The sequence below is a fragment of the Homo sapiens genome, chromosome 2 (genome assembly GCF_000001405.40).
Source record: "Homo sapiens chromosome 2, GRCh38.p14 Primary Assembly".
NCBI lineage: Eukaryota > Metazoa > Chordata > Mammalia > Primates > Hominidae > Homo > Homo sapiens.
Genome location: NC_000002.12, coordinates 60,527,110 through 60,543,887, shown reverse-complemented (window position 1 = coordinate 60,543,887; position 16,778 = coordinate 60,527,110). Strand labels below are relative to the sequence as shown.

The following is a 16,778-nucleotide window of genomic DNA, read 5'->3' as shown; positions in this document are numbered from 1 at the left end:
CAAATTTAAAATATATTTTATAGCGCTAATAATCAATCATTTAACTGAGACGAAAAGCTCTCTAAGATGTCTAAGATATTCAATGGGCGCACAACAAGTGCTGTGACCCAGGTGAGGTAAACCTTTCGTGCATGAATAATTACAAAGTCTTGATTTCTTTCATTGTGTTTAATCACCTGTTCCCACCCTGGAACTGGCTGAACATAAATAGTGTGGTCACATCTCAAAGTGAGATGTCAGTAACTAGAATCACGACTTCTCATAATTCACAGTAATGAATTAAGAGTTTCCTATGGTGAAGTTAACATTCTACCATTGCACATAAATTCCGACGCTCTGGCCCTCAGGTGCCCCTGAAGCGAAGTTCTGGAAGACGGCTGTGTGTGTACCCCCAGCCCATTTCTCTAAAGCACGTCTGCACAATTCCAAGTCTGCTTTTCTTTTTATGATGAGGAAGGAAACAATAACAGTAATCATTCAGTAGATATTTGAATTGTGTCACAAAAAGAAAGGAGAAGCAATGCCTTGTATTAAGGAAAGAGATATATTGATGAATCTCTAGAAGAATGTGTTTGGCAACCACATAAAAGGTAGTCATTTAAGCGTGCTGGGTAGGAAAGGCTTTATTAAAGTGATGTAAGTTGGATTTGAGTTCACTGTGAGCCTGTACTATTTTATAGGCAGGAAGCAAGAATAAAACAGTGACAGATCTTCTTCCTAAGATAAATAAAGCTTAGAATTCGGGACTTTCAGATAGGAGAATAAGGCAGAGTTCTTTAAATCTTGAGTAAAATGGTATGCATTTTCACTGTACTCAGGCCTCTCCAAGCTGAGTTTTTTTTTTTTTTTTTTTTTTTTAGACAGAGTTTTGCTCTTGTTGCCCAGGCTGGAGTGCAGTGGCATGATTTTGGCTCACTGCAACCTCTGCCTCCTAGGTTCAAGCGATTCTCCTGCCTCAGCCTCCCAAGTAGCTGGGATTACAGGCGTGTGCCACTACGCCCAGCTAGTTTTTTGTATTTTCAGTAGAGGCAGGGTTTCACCATGTTGGCCAGGCTGGTCTTGAACTCCTGACCTCAGGTGATCCACCTGGCTTGGCCTCCCAAAGTGCTGGGATTACAGGCTTGAGCGACCGCACCTGGCCCAAACTGAGTATTTTTTAGAGGATTCTTTTTACCTGGTGAATAGATGGGTATGTGCTCCCCCACTTCATCCACGTACACATATGAGCTGTACACATAGATGTTAATCAGGTTGCTTTTTTCATTTTATTTAAATATTCAAAATATTGTGTGATTGTGATCCATTGAGATCATTGAAGTAGTATTAATTTAGCTGGGAATTAGCAGCTTATGTTGTGTGGGCCCAGTTCATCAATATGTGTGTCAAATATCCACCCTCAGATATCAGCAGCCTTTGACTTGCAGTCAGAGCTTTCAATAGGGGTTTTGTTTTGTTTTGTTTTCTTTTTTTTTAGTCTCATATTTTATGATGGGGGGAAATATTCATGGAAGATTACTGAATGTGAAACTGCTGTTCCCTTATAGAAAAGACCCAAACATTATCCCATCATGTCAGATTTGAGGTTTTGGCTTATTGCACATAGGAATCTTTAAATTAGGTTTGGGCTGTCATAAAGTTAGCTTTTTGAGAGACTAGAGAAAAAATATGACAAGTCCTATAAAATGTAGTAAAGTCTGCTCCTGTTGATATATAACATTTTTTCTCTTTAAAATCATGAACATAGACATTTATATCAGGGTATTTAAAATTATTTGCCTAGACAGTATAGCTGGTATTTAGATAATGATATATCAGACAGATACTCTAAAGAAGGGAGATATAGTAATTCAAAATGGAAATACATTAGCATGCTCTTAAAAGTAAATCAAATACAATATGCTTTTCAGAATTTAGAAAATGAACTTACCTTTTCTTTTTGTATCCATTCTGATTCTCTCCTAGCTCAGACTGAACTGGAGGATGTATTTGTGTACCTTATGGTGTAATTGTAAATGAGACTATAAATTATAGTATGCTATTATGACTACTTATTTTTCTTTTCTCTTTATTTATGTGATTCTGAATAAAAACGACTGACTTCTGAAGTGAATTTTCAGCATGGCAGTTAAAACAAAAAAACACCACTACCACAAAAAACAATATACTGGTGAACATTTTACTTACCTTCAAAATCCAGAGAGTAGAGAATATTGTTTTCTAATAAGTACCTAGGATTTTCATAGGGAGCCTATGTTTGTGAGGCCACTATCCAAAGACTAATGTTCATGAAACTGGGAGTCCTATATACAAGCTGTATTTGTAAATAAGACAGAGAAAGGTTGTGAACTGGCAGCTTGGATGTTTTGTCAAAGTACAATGTCAGAGAAACTCTTTCTAAGACAAATTGTAAATAGAACTGTCACAGTGATTGCATGATTGAGCCGCAGAAGTGTCCTACAATTGTTGGCATTGTCAGGACTTTTGAAAGCTTAATTAAACACAGTGGCCCGCATGGCTGCTAAACTTACTAAGGAAAGCCAAAAGGAAAAAAAAAATATATCTAAAATGTAGAAGATCCTAAAGATCCCAAACTTCTTCAGACATTACCCTTGTGGTGACACAGAAAAGATGCATTGTGCATTTTCCTAGTCATCTTTTATAAATAATGTTTTGAGAATAGGTCCACGTGATATGAAGATCATCCTGTGTGTGATGTGGAGATTGTGTTAGTTTTTCTGTCTCCTGCTGTTACAGACAGTTAATGTAAAAATGGCCTTTTATTGGAAACACAAATATGTATTCACTTCAAGAACAGGAGCAGAGGGGGACAAAGTTTCCCTCCCGTTCTCTGTGTTTATTCTGTGAAAGCTTAAAAAAACAAAAAAACAAAATAACCACACACACACACACACACACACACACACACACACACACACACACAAAACCAGTGCTGTAATTTCTTAAATCACCCCATTCCTTGTTGTGTTGCAAGTTGTGCCTTTACTATAAAGGATCTGAAATATGTTTTGCACACCTTTCTCTTAGTGAATGTGGCATATAATTGTGGAGCTGCACATGGGCTGGAAAATGCAACTGGGTGTAGAAACGTGCAGGCAGGGTCAGGACAGGCAACCTTCAGCTCAGGGAGGAGGCGAGTTGGATGCTTATTAATGGCATCTTTTAGAGTCCTGGAAAATCATTAATTTCACACTGCAGCTTCCATGTAGTTTGGCTAATGTGGGAGTACTAAATTGGGGTACATAAAAAACATGCAAATCCTAGGGAAACATTTTTTAGATTTTTGTGATTTCTCAATGAAAATGTTTAATAAAGGAGAATAGGTGAATGGTGGCTTTGCGTGCTGGTCAGTAAGAAAGGAAACAAATTTTGGCTTTCCTTTGGGGGGAAATATTAAATTTAACCGAAGTAGAAAGCACAGCTAGGGAGATGCACCAAGATTGCGTCACTGGATGTTAATTTAATCTACTTTGGTTGGTCTGTTCACACCCTTTATTGCACAAAGAAGTCATTTGACAAAATTTACCCCAAGCCCAAGTCTGTTTTTACATACAGTAGTACCAGCTTTGTGCAATAAAAAGCACTTAGCATCAAGCTGGACCCAGCCTGGCACCTTGCCACTTTTTTAGCATGAGATTTAATCACCAAGCATCTTTAGTACCTTTCTGCTTGTTCAGATTTCATTTGGGTCATGGCTATGTCAGCAGTGTTGTTATTTCAAGGATTAAAAAAAAAGATTCTAACTTAGAGCCCACTTTTAACATTATTTCAAATCAAGCAGGTTTTTATGTTATGTATCAATTTGGATGACATTAATGAAGTTCATAAAATATGTTCAGACTATATAATTTAATGGATAATGACTACTATTTTTATTTGTAATACAAATAGGAAATTGACTGTTGTCTCCCTCCCTCCTTGGTTCTTTTCTCCTACCTAGGTAAATGGGCATCCTTAAACAGCTTCTCCCCTTTACGACCAGGGTATAGAGCACTGGCCAATATCAGTAAATTTACCTTTGTAATTTGCCACGTAGTTTTTACAACATGACCTAATTAATTTGAGCACGAACCATATTATTGCTACTGGAGTCATTTTCTGTCACAAACTTAATTTCCAGGAAATGTAACCTGACAAATAAGAATTCTTTAGCTCTCTACATGTGCTCCTAGAGACCAAAGGCAGATTTAAAATAATAATAATTTTAAAAGTGCCAGCATTATTAAAGCCAGTATACTTGATGCCAAACTCAATTTGAAGCCAGTAAACATCAGACTGTATTTCTAATCAGTTTTAAAATGTAACTTATTCCATATTGGGTTCATTGGAATTTGTCTCCCTGCTTTTTACTGGCCAGCTGCACTCCCTATGCATTTTTAAAACATTTCAGCAAAGGCTTTTGCTGTTCTTAGCAGGGTTAGTAACTTGGGGTCTATTTCTGAGCTCATTCGTCATTCTGCAATGGCATTGAGTTAGGTTGGCAAGGGAAGGATTTGAGGCATGGGGGGTGGTGAGGTCACTTCTGATCCCAGCAGGGAATAGGTGAGCTTCATTTGCCTTTACAATAGGCGCACAGTTACTGCACCTTGGAGGAGCTCTCAGGTGCCGCTCAGATGGGCGCATGTAAATGCCCTGTCAGATGCGGAGCTGGAATATTAATGCTTCTTCCACCACCACACCATAATAAAGCTGTACACAGCAAGCTTAATATGCAGCTAGTCTGGGGAATTGTATAAACTTAGATAGCCCAGTGTGAAAGACAGCAATGGAAAAATGCTCGATATGCCACAGTTTCCATTCTTGTTCTCCTTTGATCTATAGCGAAATGAAAACATCATCCTTTTCTTCTCTTGGAGTTGTCTCCCCAACTCTGCCACCTCCCAATTCACCACCAGAATTTTTTTGCATGTGCTGGTATGGAGAAATGCAACATAATTTGTTTCATATGGTTAATTACAGGCGTTTGAATATTTAAAATTTTAAATAGCCACAGTTCCAGCTTTTCCCGTTAAAAGTATGTGATTTGAACAAAGGGAGTACAGTGTAAATATTTGTGGTGATTTGCAACACCCCTCTTTCCCCATTACACACACACACACACACACACACACACACACACACACACACACAGAGAGAGAGAGAGAGAGAGACATTCAGTTTAAATCTAGTACTGATCTAAAGGACTTCTGTACCTTCATTTGTACTTTTTTTAAAAAACAACTTTCAACTGGAATTCCATTAAAATATTTCACCATTATATTTTTGAGTCCACATTGCTTGAGGTTTTAAAGAAGATTTTTATAATGTGTTCCTTTAACAGAATCAACAGCTGTCAGAAGCAGTTGTGGTAGATCCACAAAACGTATAAAGAAAAATACACGTTTCCTGAAACAAAACACTTGGAAAAATAAGCTGCTAAGAACTGGCGAATTAGAAGTTTGCAGACAGGGAACTGAAGTGTCATCTCTTGGTTCACCCTGGAGACTGATGTGAGTGGATCTGATGCAATGCTGCTGGAAGATTTACCTGCACAGGTTGCTCCTCTAAGGCAACGCGCAGTGCACGATTGACGTATGCACCAGAGCTAGGCTGGGCCTCAGCTCGCTCCATCTTTTGCCCTTTTTGATCTCTTTAGATAGATAAAATACCAAGTTCTCAGAGTGCTAAACAACAAATTATATATACCTAAAGGTGAGATGATCAGGTTTAAACTTCCTGTAAAAGAGGCGAGAAGGCGCCTTGCACACCCTTTTCCAGATAGGGCTGGCAGCATGTTATTCAGAACTGAATCAGTCTCTGCCAGAGAATTCCCAGTGGGAACCTGGAGCAGGTATGTTGATGAAGGGGATACCTGGGGACCTTTGGTCACTCACAATGAGTTTTTGTTTGTATTCTCACTGTTGTTAGCATTGCCAATGAACAATTGCACCTACAATTTGATTTTAGTTTTAGATAGAGGCGAATCCACTGATTAAAAACTCCCATTAAAATAAAGAATGGAATTATTGTGAAACCTGCAAGGGTGCCTTCAAAAAGAAAACCAGTGCTGTTGTATACCTACCTCGCCTTTCTATTTGCTTTTTGAACTTTCTAAAAAACACAAGGAAGCTTTTTGCTAAGCATCAGGGCATTTAAATTTATATTCATCAGTTGTTCATTTTCTTAATATGTAATGATGCATAAAAAGGCTGCAAGGAAATCACATCTGTTAATTTTTAGGGAAATAAAGTGTAGCTTGGATTCTTATGTTGGAGCACAAAGCACTATGTGCCAAGTCTGTTCCTGTACATTTTAAATATAGAGTTTTAATATTTGGCCAATCCCTGCACCTCCTCAAACAAAAACAAACCTCAAAAAACTAAGAGAACCAAACCTGAAGTATTCTCCTTCACCAACTCAAGGTATACCATGATTTTATGATTTATTTACATTTAGGGGGGAACCCCTCAGTGAACCATTTACTCCCCATTTTAACTCCCCTGCCCCGATCCTTTCAGTTTCCAGTTAAAACAATGCATTAACCAATGTTAAATCTTAAATCTCGTGAGTTTCTCTCCATCACACCCTAATATTTTAAAAAAATTATTCCTTTACATTTAAAACTGAACATTGGCTACTGAAGAATGATTTAAAGGCTGAAAAAAATTTTAATAATAAATCGTAACCTTCTCATGTTATGTTTTTGTTATGTTAAGGAGAAAAAAATCAATAAGGAAAAATTTAATTCTGATAAAGATACTCTTGGATCTTTGAAAACAACTGCTGTCCTTTTAACTAAAACATTTGAGCAGCTTCAAAGACTATGTATTTCTTCTGATCTTGGAGCTGTGTGACTGGTAGCAAGAAAGAAAAAAAATCTTATTCTACATACAAGTGGATTGCTTAACAAGTCAGCACAGACACGTACTTGTTTGTACAATAGAGATAAAAATTCCTGTATAAAAATAATTCAGCTGCTGACAGCAGGCATTGTTGTTGGACCTGTCTTTTGTGCTTGTCCCAGCTCTGGGTCCCCCTCCCCTCCTATCTGCTTGGGGCAGCCTGCTGCCTGCACACTGCTGACCAGAAGTTAATTGCTATATATTAAGTATATAGGTATTGTATTTAAAGAGGAATATCTCAAGGCTTCCTATATGCATTCCACTTTACTTTCTGATGTGATTGCGGTGTTGCCAGCAGGGGGGTGGCAGGCAAACGCTCTAATAGGGAAAATCACTTGAAGGCAGTTAGGGGAAATTTGGCCTTCAAGTCCCATTTGCTCTGTAGTGTAGCATTGGTTTCTAAACTTTTGTTTTTAATCTAATTCTGATTTGCCCTGTCACATCCCATATCAACCCTCATTGAACTCTACTCATGTAGAGTAACATTAGTGTCAAACGGAATTGGTCAGGACTGTGGACCTGTGGCTCATACAGATGGTTGTGGATGTGGGTTCCATGCAGCTCTGCATCCTATCCTTTCTAATAAATGTTAAAATGTGGCACATTTCTGAGCAGGGCCCAAGGATAAGAGAGTTAAGAAATCAGGGGGTAGTACCTGAGATTTTTCTCCCTTCTCTTTCCGATTTCCTTGATAACATCCACATTTCCGGTAAGATCAACTCTAGGAGAAAGTCTGAGGCTGGGGGAGAGAGGGGGAGAAGGGTGCGGAGAGAGGTTCTTGGAATATTCTTCGATAGCAGTTCAAATGAAATCCCCACAGCAGAGAGCTTTTGGGTCTAGCAGTGGAGCGGTAAGCTGGGACACGTGGCCTTTCGAAGCTGTTATTCTCAGTCTGACTTGCACACCAGCTGAGATAGGACTTAACATATACTTTCTTGCTTTCACCTGGGTTGGAGAGGTTGGGGTTGGGAGGAAGAGGAGGAGTTCATTGGGAATTCTGTCACTAGAATTTTTTAAATGTCAGGAGGTTAGCAAGGTGTGAGTTAGCATTCAAGCAAAGGATTCTTCTCCAGACTAGTAATTGGAAAGCCTGCAAATCCAGGTTCCCACGATACTCTCTAATAACTGGGGTGGGATGGTGGTGGTGGGTGGACACCACAACTTTCTGAATGTCAGCTGATGTCTGCATGACCCGTTCACCATGGATTAAATGCGGCTGGTGCCGAATGGAGGAAATCAGAAAGGCAAATCTCAAGCAACAGGATTTGCACTCCTCAGAAGTAAACCAGACCTTGCTCCTCTCCCTCCTGTGCTTCTCCTTTCTTGCTGGTTTCCCTTTGGAAGCAGAAACTTCTAAAATTAATGCCACTCCAAGCCAATGAAAAAGCTGTTTTTATACCACAGTGGATGTTTACACAGGAGAGACAACTTGAGGGGGAAAAGGCTTTTTGGAAGGGTGGAGGGACTCGTGTTAATCTGTTCTGTTGGAGGACTATGCAGTATTGCCTATGAGCGACTCTGGGCTGTTTTTGATAAATTACCATGTTTAGAGATAGGTTTGGCTCTTAAGGGCTTAGTTTTATGAACAAAGTCCGTGACGATGTTTGCAGCCTCTGTTTGTATCTTAGCCCCTTTGGCTTGACTAGAAGCTCTATGTTTAGTTTAAGCTCAGTCTGGAAGATATTACAATTTTGCATTAAAAAAATGAGGAAATCATAGGAAGAAAAACCCTTTGCTTTTTGGATGAATCTTACTGATAATTTGCTAAAGCTCATTTGAATTTTAAGCACTTCTTTAATCTTCAAAGGCTAAATTGCTTTATGAATATGCATGGTGTGGGCAGACTTCAGTTCATTACCTAGTTGTAAATTCTAATGACCATTAGGTCCTTCCAGTAATTGCGAATTGTTTTGCATTTTTGATTGGCCTATTAACATGTACATTCGGTGCACATCAGGCTGGCCTGTCAGCCTGCTGAAGGAGAAAAAAAAGGTGAAAATTGTTTATAGCACCAAGATTCTTAGATTTTCAATCTTGCAAAATTGATGATGTAAAAAAATTAAAGCAGTGTTTTTTCTTCTCAAGATTAAAAGTTCACCAAGAGATTTGACATATTTAATTTACATGATGACTTTGCACTCCTTCATTAATGTAATTTGCATATGAAGCTGTTGTTAATCACTTTTGATCATGTTTTGTGTATTAGCTGCCTCAGTGGCTCTCCTCCTCAGATGCCCCAGTAGAAAGGAGCAAAATGATGCATCTTCTTGCCAAGTTTCCTTTAGTGAATTGAGGAATTAGAAGTCTAACCTTGAGTAATTACATATGTTTTATCCGTTTTCTTTTAACGTTAAGTACAGTTTGTGAACGTGTTGGCTGGAAATCGTTCTCATTTGGGGAGAAGACTGTAAAATTTAAGTATATGATTGAGGCACTTCCAGATACATAGAGAAATATGTATTGCCTGTTTCTGTTCCCCACGAACATTGCAGGGCAGTTTTATTGTTAGCAGTTTGATGGCAGGAAGCCTTGGCTATTATAGTGTATTAAGACATCAGGTTCCTCCTTTGGAGGAGGGAAGGCTACAGAACTACAAACCTTTCTAACAATGCTTTAGGTTTCTTCTTTAGATAGATGGCTGGCACCTAAAGGACTTGGGCCTGGGTTTGGCTGACTCTTTTATCTTTTAGATCAAGTAAGTTTTCTCATTCAGCTGCTGCTCTGAGCTACAATGTGTCCTCCCCTCATCACCAAAGTATATCCTGGTCTCCAGGCTCCCTGGGCTCCCAGTGTCTCCCTCAAGGTACACGAGTGCCCTGGTGGTGAAAACAAGGTGCTAACTAACGGTTTCCGATTTTTGAGAGCCTGTGATTTTGGTGTTTGCCTTTGCTGTTGAATAACCTGTGCTGTATTATTGATGTTCATCTTTGGTTTATGAGTTTATCACTGGTTAACAAGCAGAATCAGAACAGTGTAACTGATATTCTGATTAAAACGAATGTTTAATGAAAGAAAATAAATTGTGATGGAAAATGAACAGTGTGTAAGAAACATAACTATAATTTTAACCTCCGAGGGACCTAGCACTGCCCTACCGTGACTTCCATCCATACCATGCTAAAAGCATGCTTCAGTTTAAAGTTGTTAATATTCAGCTGGGAAACAGTATCCAGAACACAAATAAATTATTAAGTGCATGAACTTTTTAGGCAGTAAGATGAACTGATGGGGTCCATCTGTGAGATCCAGGGGCTTTTTATTTGTGTGTGTCGAGCGATTCTGCCCTCTCCGACTTCACAGCCTTTGGTCTCCGGCCAACTGCATGCATAATTGATTCCACACGCACTATCATTTTCTTGATGTAATTGCTTTACTAAGATATGATGAAATCTAATGGATAATTTGCTATTTGAAAATGGTCAAAAAAAATCTTCATACTTTATGTGGGGCTGAGTGGGCAGTGGAGAAAGGGGTATTCAGCTGACCCGGTATTTAAGAAAACAAAACAAGCAACACTAACTTATGCATGCTGCTTCAGTCGCGTTGGCTGTGGATAGGAAGGTCTTTGTGACATATGGAAGCCAGTGTATAAATCTCTCTCCTTCTATCTTGCATCACCCCCTTCATTCCTTCTCTCTTTCTCTCCTCTCTCTCTCCCCCAAACTTTACAAGAAAGGGATCCTAACAAGGTAAAAAGTAAACAATTTAGTCATCACAAGCCTTATTATTCAGTCTATCCAGGAGTTTTGCCATGTCGGTTTATTTAACTTCCAGGAATGTAAACACTGACACAGCCCTAGAAGCAGCAAGAAAGATTACAGTATTAGAGTTAAAAACGTGAGCATGGAGGAGCTGTGCTTTATACTCTGCTATAATAACACTTTACATTGAAACATAATGGTAAGTCAAAAGTGACTGGAAACTTCTGCTTATATGGAGTACAAATTTCATTCTAATAGATTGGCATAATCTAGTGTACCCAGGGTAGATTGTTATATAATGGAGAAACTGTATAAATGTCAAGTACACAAATAATTCTACAGGAAGTAAATAAAAAGTATTAGAATTTCTTAAGTCACCATTAAATTTTGGTGGTGGGACAATCTCATTAGCTCCTTCAAAATCATGTGGCTTTGCATAAGTCTTTTGAAAATGTATTTTCAGGGAATTTACAGATGGTGAAACATTGTTTTAATCCAAACCAGTTAATGCTTTAAATCTACCTTTAAAAAAATTGTACTGTTTTTCGAAGTACTTAAAGGGAGTGGAGGGGTAGAAAGCATATAAGTGAATCCATCTCACTGTGGCAAACTGTTTTTCAAGTAAAGTCATAATAATGAACAACACATGATCTGAAATTTGATCAGCAAACATATCCTTATGCCAAGGAATTTTCTTTTTTTCTTTCCTTTTTTTTCTTTTTCGCCATTCACATACCAAGGTTCTGTAAATCAGTAAACCAGGCAGAGAGTAACTATTGTAAGGGGGAAACCAAATCATAATACCCAGAGTGGCCCAGAAGCTGTCTTTCTGAAGAAACATTAACGCCACCACCACCAAAAAAAGAAAAACAAAAAAACAAAAAACAAAGCAAAACAAAACAAAACCTTTTTAAAAAACTGGAAATGACAGAATAGTTTTAAAAGGAAAAAAAAAAAAACCCAAAAACCAAAAAGCAACAACCACCTTCTGACGCTCAAAACTTCAAACTATTAATAGACCACCAGTGAGATAGACTGTCTTTGTGCCTTGAAATGCAAAATGAGGGAAATAATTAGCAGAGGAACAAAATTCTCAAAATTTGAAGAACTTCTGTGATTACTGGGGGTACAGTGAAAAGAAAATGCAAATTTCTTCCTGATCTTAATTAGATTCGATTGTGCGGTGGGTGTGTTGGATTTGGGGGGAGGGGCAGAGGCAGGGAGTGCTGGGGTGAGGCGTGAGGCTGAGTGTTGTGGAGACAGGTTAGCAGGGGCCCGGCGGTGTGGCAGGAACAAAGGCAGCTTCCAACGCTGGTGCAGGATTCCGAGCCTTAACCCAGATGCTCATGGTGCCCTAGTCTTGAGTTCTTCATTTAGGTGGGCTTATTTCCCACTGGGTCTGGGGGATTTCATTTGTCCTTTGAGGGGCAGGGTGGACACTGACAGAACAGCTGCGGCCGGCAGAGAGGGTGGTTAGGAAGAGGGAAGCAGCCTGTGGGTAACTTCCCGACCACATGGAAAGGCTGAATAAGACGTTATGGACCCTGCCTTGGGTACTGGGGTCAGCGTCTCCTGGTGGTGTCTGCACAGGGCCCCCCAATGCCAGGGCACTGCCAAAACACGCTCTTGAGTTTAATGGTAGTGGTTGGTCTGAGTCCTGCCAAAGTGTATGGAGCAAGTTTCATTGGCTGGACTTTCCCCTTGCATGAAATAATAAAAGCCCTGGCCAAGGCTTATGAATCTATTTTTGTTTCATTAATATTATTTATTATGTATTTTATTAATATTTTTTGGAGGGACCTTGCTCTCATTTGACCATTTGTAGTTATAATTAATGCATTCCGTACTGGTTGTAAAAAGTGTGCTTGCATTTAATTGCAAGTCAGGGTAAATTAATGGATATGATTTAAAACAAAACTCACTTAAAATATTCTTGCAGAACGCAAAGGAGGGGGCAGTCCCAGTATTTAATTTATTTTCTGGTTTAGTGTTAGTGTGAGAGGGTCGAAAAGATTCTGTGGGTCCAACGGGATTTGTGTCTGTGTGTGCAGGACCGTCGGGCAACACAGAGGGAGGAGAAAAACCTGGACCGGAGTAGGGTAGCCAGGAGCTCTTTTTTTTTTTTTCTCTAATTTCTGAGGTTGCCAGGAGGGGCTTAAGCAAAGTGGTCAAGTCCATCTGCTCCGGAGAAGGTGGTAAAGAAAAGAGGTTAGTGGCAAGAGGGAAGGAGCACAAAGGGAAAATTGTACATTGGGAGCGTTACTCTCCCTGGCCATGGTGTAGCCAGACTGGTTTAGCAGACAGAATGATAGATTGTTTTGTCAGGGGTCCCAGGGTGCGCCCTGAACTTGAAGCACTTTGTTTATCTTGAATAGAAAGGGAAAAGCGCAGACATAATCGATGTCTAGTTTTTAGGAGCTCGAAAGAGGTAGGAGAACAGAGAAGACTCAGGAGGGGTAGTGGGAGGTGGGGGAGGTGCAGGCCCTGGTTGTGGTTGTCCATTAACAGATGAACTTGGCCGAGGGCCAGGCTTTAGATGAGAGCGTGTCAGGGCCCCAGTGCAGCCAAGCCTTTTCAGTGTTTTTTTTTTCCTTTTTCTTTCTTTCTTTTTTAAATACCTGCTGACTGTACATCAAATGCTCCCTGGTCTTTTGGCTAAAGGCAAAAAAATAAAAAATAAAAAAAAAAAGAGACGCACAGCTCAATTTTTTCCCTCCTCTGAACCAGTTGAGGCCAGTCTTTTGGCTACATATGCGGGTTCTATCATCTTTCCTGGCTTGCCGTTGGGAAAAAAAGTTGTGATAACGCCAGTAACCCGAGGGCCAGATGGGAAGGGTTTGGTTGTGTTCAGGCGACCAGGTGTGAGAGCTCGTGGTGCAGTGGGGTGGGGCGTGGCCGGCGTGCCTGCGTGTGCAGGTAAGAAATCAGTGGAAACTCTTTTTTTTTTTTTTTTTTAAATGGCTGAAGTTTAACTTGTTGGAAGGGCCTGTGAATTAAGCTGTCGGTGGCTGAGAACGATAATATGCAAGGAAGGCTCAAGGAAGGCTCAAGAAAGGCCAGGGGTGGGGAAAAGGTGCTCTTGTTAGAGGCGCAGCCTTTCCTGGGCAGGACCCAGGACCGATGGCAAACCCATGTGTTTGGGCTTGTTTTGTTCTCGATTTTCTTATCTTCTTGGCCTCTTCCTGTGTTTTTTAGTTTATTGTGACATTATGCATTCATATATGAATGTTGGCAAGCAGGAGTCATCATCCCAATAACTTCCTGACATTTTTAGCTCTTTTAATGTGCAGTCTTTGCCCTCCTGCCACAAGTGGCGAAGTAATTGAATTTCCCTGTTACTAACTGGCAGGAGGCATGTTCTAGTTCCCACCAGAGGAGCTGCTGGGGCTAAAGCTGGGTTCATAGAATCCCACCTAGGGGACACCAGGGCTTTCAAGTGGTTTGGGGACCTGTCTGAAATGATATTCACACAATAAAAAATATTTTTCCCATCATAGACTTGAAAAGGCACCATTGTGCACATCTATATAAAATGTGATAAAATCACATTTACTTCCCCTGGCTAGGCCTCATAAGGGAGGCAGGATTTCCTTCTCCTTTTCTAGTAGCAAATAAAAACTGGGAAAATTTGGGGGCCTCTGGGTTTATCCCATGGATACCTGCCCCCGCTCCCGCCCGCCAACTCAGCCAAGCCCTTAGAGGCAGTCTTCTCTCCCACCTAGATGTCTTTGTAACCTGAGCTGGTAAGAAAGGGAGGAGGGACAGAAAGAGGGGAAATATGCCCTTGACATATGATGTATCTTCTTTCTTTTCTTCTTCTCTTTGATTACACGAAATAAAATGGTTTAGGCTGAGGGTAAAGAAGTAATACCATTTCTAGTTGTGCAACCTTGGGCAGATTTCATTCCCTAAGCCTCCGCTTCCTCAATCTGTAAAGTGGGGAGAATCACGGGGCTTGCCTCATAGGGCCTTTGAGCATCCTATGAGAGCATGTGGGGGCGCTGGGCTCAGTGCTGGGCACATGGTAAAACATGTCACAAAAGCTCATTACTATTACGGTTATGACTCATGGCTTGGAACTGTGTGCTCCTGGGGTCTCAAAGTAGTTCCCCCATTATGGGGTGAGCAGGTTGGGATGAGAGAAGAGCAGGGCAGGTGGGGGTCTAAAGAGCTCAGGGTCTCATTATGTTTCTGGTGGCAGCTCCCTCGTGGGTGGGAGTCCCCTCTCCCCATAGACGTGTGTTGCCTTACGAGAGGCTTGTGCCTGCCTGGGTGTGTGACACAGTTACTCTGGGTTCAGATTTCTATGTTACTGCTAGCTGGTTGGGAGAGTCTGAGGGAATCATTTCACCTCTCTGTGAAATGGAGATAACTCAAGGTCCCTTACCTCATAGAGTCCATGTGAGAAGTAAATGAGGGAAAGCACAGACATTACTCGCTCCGGGGGCTGCACCTCCAGAATTGCTGTTGTCATTATTACCATGTGTCTGACACATTGATATTCCATCCCACAACAACCTCGGAAAGGAAACACTCCCATTAGCCTCATTTGGTAGAGGAGGAAATTGGGGTTCATCAAGGGTTAAATGACTTCCCTGAGGGTCCACAGTTGTTCAATCCTTTGGCCTGCGGCCGCCACCCTCTGCTACCTCTTCAGTACGTTTGCAGCTTTCTTCAGCGGTGCCAGGCAACAACTGGGCAGGAAGCTCTGGTGCTGGACAGTTGTCCCTCCCATGGGTTCTGTGGTCAAGTTTTTCAATCTTCTGGGAAAGAGAAGAATGTTCCCCTCCAGTTCTGGGCATATTGAAGGAGCACGGAGCTGTTGGGAAAAGTTGCAATGTAAGGAATCCTGCTTTGCAAGTAGTCATTTCCCCATCTGTCCAGAATGAGCCTGAAATCAAGTGAGGGTCCTGAGAAACAGAGGGAGGAGGTTTTACTGTTTGTGTGTGGCTTGGTCAGGAGACTGCAGTGGGCTGAATGAGAAACTAAGCTCGGACTTTTAAGAAGTGGTGAGGCTTGGCCTGCAGCAGTTCTGTGTGTTGTCTCTGTGGCATTTACTTCTCGGATCGTACCTTCAAAGGCTGGGGAGAATCAGAATTATACAGGGAGGGAGAGACTGAGTGTGAGTGAGTGTGCGTGGCAGTGGTGTTTCTTAGGACGATGGGTTCTGGGGGGTCATAATCTGCTTCGAGGAGGTTTTCATTTCTGGCTGAACAAGGCTGTGGTAAGGCAAGTCCGGAAGGCATGCTGGAAACTTGAGGGAAGTTTTGAATGGAAACTGCAGTCAACAGCTCCATATGATCCGCATGTGGCTTCCCCAGAGGCAAGTTTTCAGCTGCGTGGTGGCCTCTCCCAGTCACTCCACAGGCTGCCCTGACGCTATTAATATTTGCTGAAGCAAGACCTGAGGTTCGTTGCAGATGGATTACACAATGTATTCCAAAACCAAATGTTACTGTTTTCCTGTATTCTCCATCCTTTCAAATTGGCCAGGCTAACATAGACCTCCACTGAGAGAATTTCAGAATCATTTGGTAGTTGAGAAGCGCCTACTTCATGCGGAGGCCCCGTGGGAGGAGTGGAAGAGTTGGCCTCAGCACTGGCGAGTATCGGATGGGAGCTCTGCTCACTTGGTAAGTCCTTCTGCTAGAACCAAGGGAGGCTGTTCAGATCCATCACAAAGAAGTTGTCGGTCACATCCAGGTTGTCTTCTGAGTTTGAGGTGGGATGGAGGTGGCTGCTGAGAATCCATGTGGGTCAAGAGCTCCAAAGCTTCACTTTTACTTCGCACTCTGTCCCGGGGCATGGACGTCCTCAATGGAGGTCATGCAAGCCCTTCCCCCTCACCCCTTCTCTTGGCCCTCTTCATTGTCTCTACATACCCTTGGGTCAAGAGTGTAGTGGTTCTCCCTTGTCACCCTGGAAGAGAAGCTCTTAGTTTTATTTGCTGGGTCTCCTAGACTGAAATGATAAAGCTGAAATGATAAAAGGCGTATCATGGCTTTAGAACCCTTCTTATTTCCCTCGCTCGCACCCCCTAGTTTTCCTTCTCTTCCCTTGAAAATCAGTGAAAATCAGGCCACATCTCTGATGATGGCCTTTTGTTTCTTTTTCTTTTTCTGTTTCTGCCTTCGTTAGGTAAGCACAAATTTGATGTCCCAAGAGGCAGGCCGGTGAC

The 16,778-nt window shown here is 41.3% G+C and overlaps 1 protein-coding gene across 37 annotated transcripts in view, besides 3 other annotated features; it reads left to right on the top strand.

Moving 5' to 3' along the window:
* BCL11A (BCL11 transcription factor A) overlaps nucleotides 1-16,778 on the top strand; it is a 103,405-nt gene that overhangs the window by 10,037 nt on the left and 76,590 nt on the right. The window contains exons 1-2 of one of the 37 annotated variants that reach the window (NR_175964.1): nucleotides 15,353-15,439; nucleotides 16,094-16,233. The exons of 35 other annotated variants lie outside the window; for them this stretch is intronic. The gene's annotated coding sequence lies outside the window, so the exon portion shown is untranslated. Of the gene's footprint in view, nucleotides 1-11,386; nucleotides 11,978-15,352; nucleotides 15,440-16,093; nucleotides 16,234-16,778 lie in introns of those variants that run through there. One more of the 37 variants, XM_047444761.1, reaches the window with a different exon arrangement.
* Nucleotides 7,950-9,619: an enhancer, noted in NCBI's record as "VISTA enhancer hs957". NCBI's record gives its function as "enhancer in: forebrain[4/4]" and the evidence as "EXISTENCE:transgenic organism evidence [ECO:0001131][PMID:17130149]".
* Nucleotides 11,498-12,057: an enhancer, noted in NCBI's record as "H3K27ac-H3K4me1 hESC enhancer chr2:60758966-60759525 (GRCh37/hg19 assembly coordinates)". NCBI's record gives its function as "activates a minimal SCP1, AML or CMV promoter by ChIP-STARR-seq in primed H9 embryonic stem cells {active_cell/tissue: H9 hESC(primed)}" and the evidence as "EXISTENCE:reporter gene assay evidence [ECO:0000049][PMID:30033119]".
* Nucleotides 13,078-13,147: a silencer, noted in NCBI's record as "silent region_11511". NCBI's record gives its function as "represses an Ori minimal core promoter by ATAC-STARR-seq in GM12878 lymphoblastoid cells {active_cell/tissue: GM12878}" and the evidence as "EXISTENCE:reporter gene assay evidence [ECO:0000049][PMID:35858748]".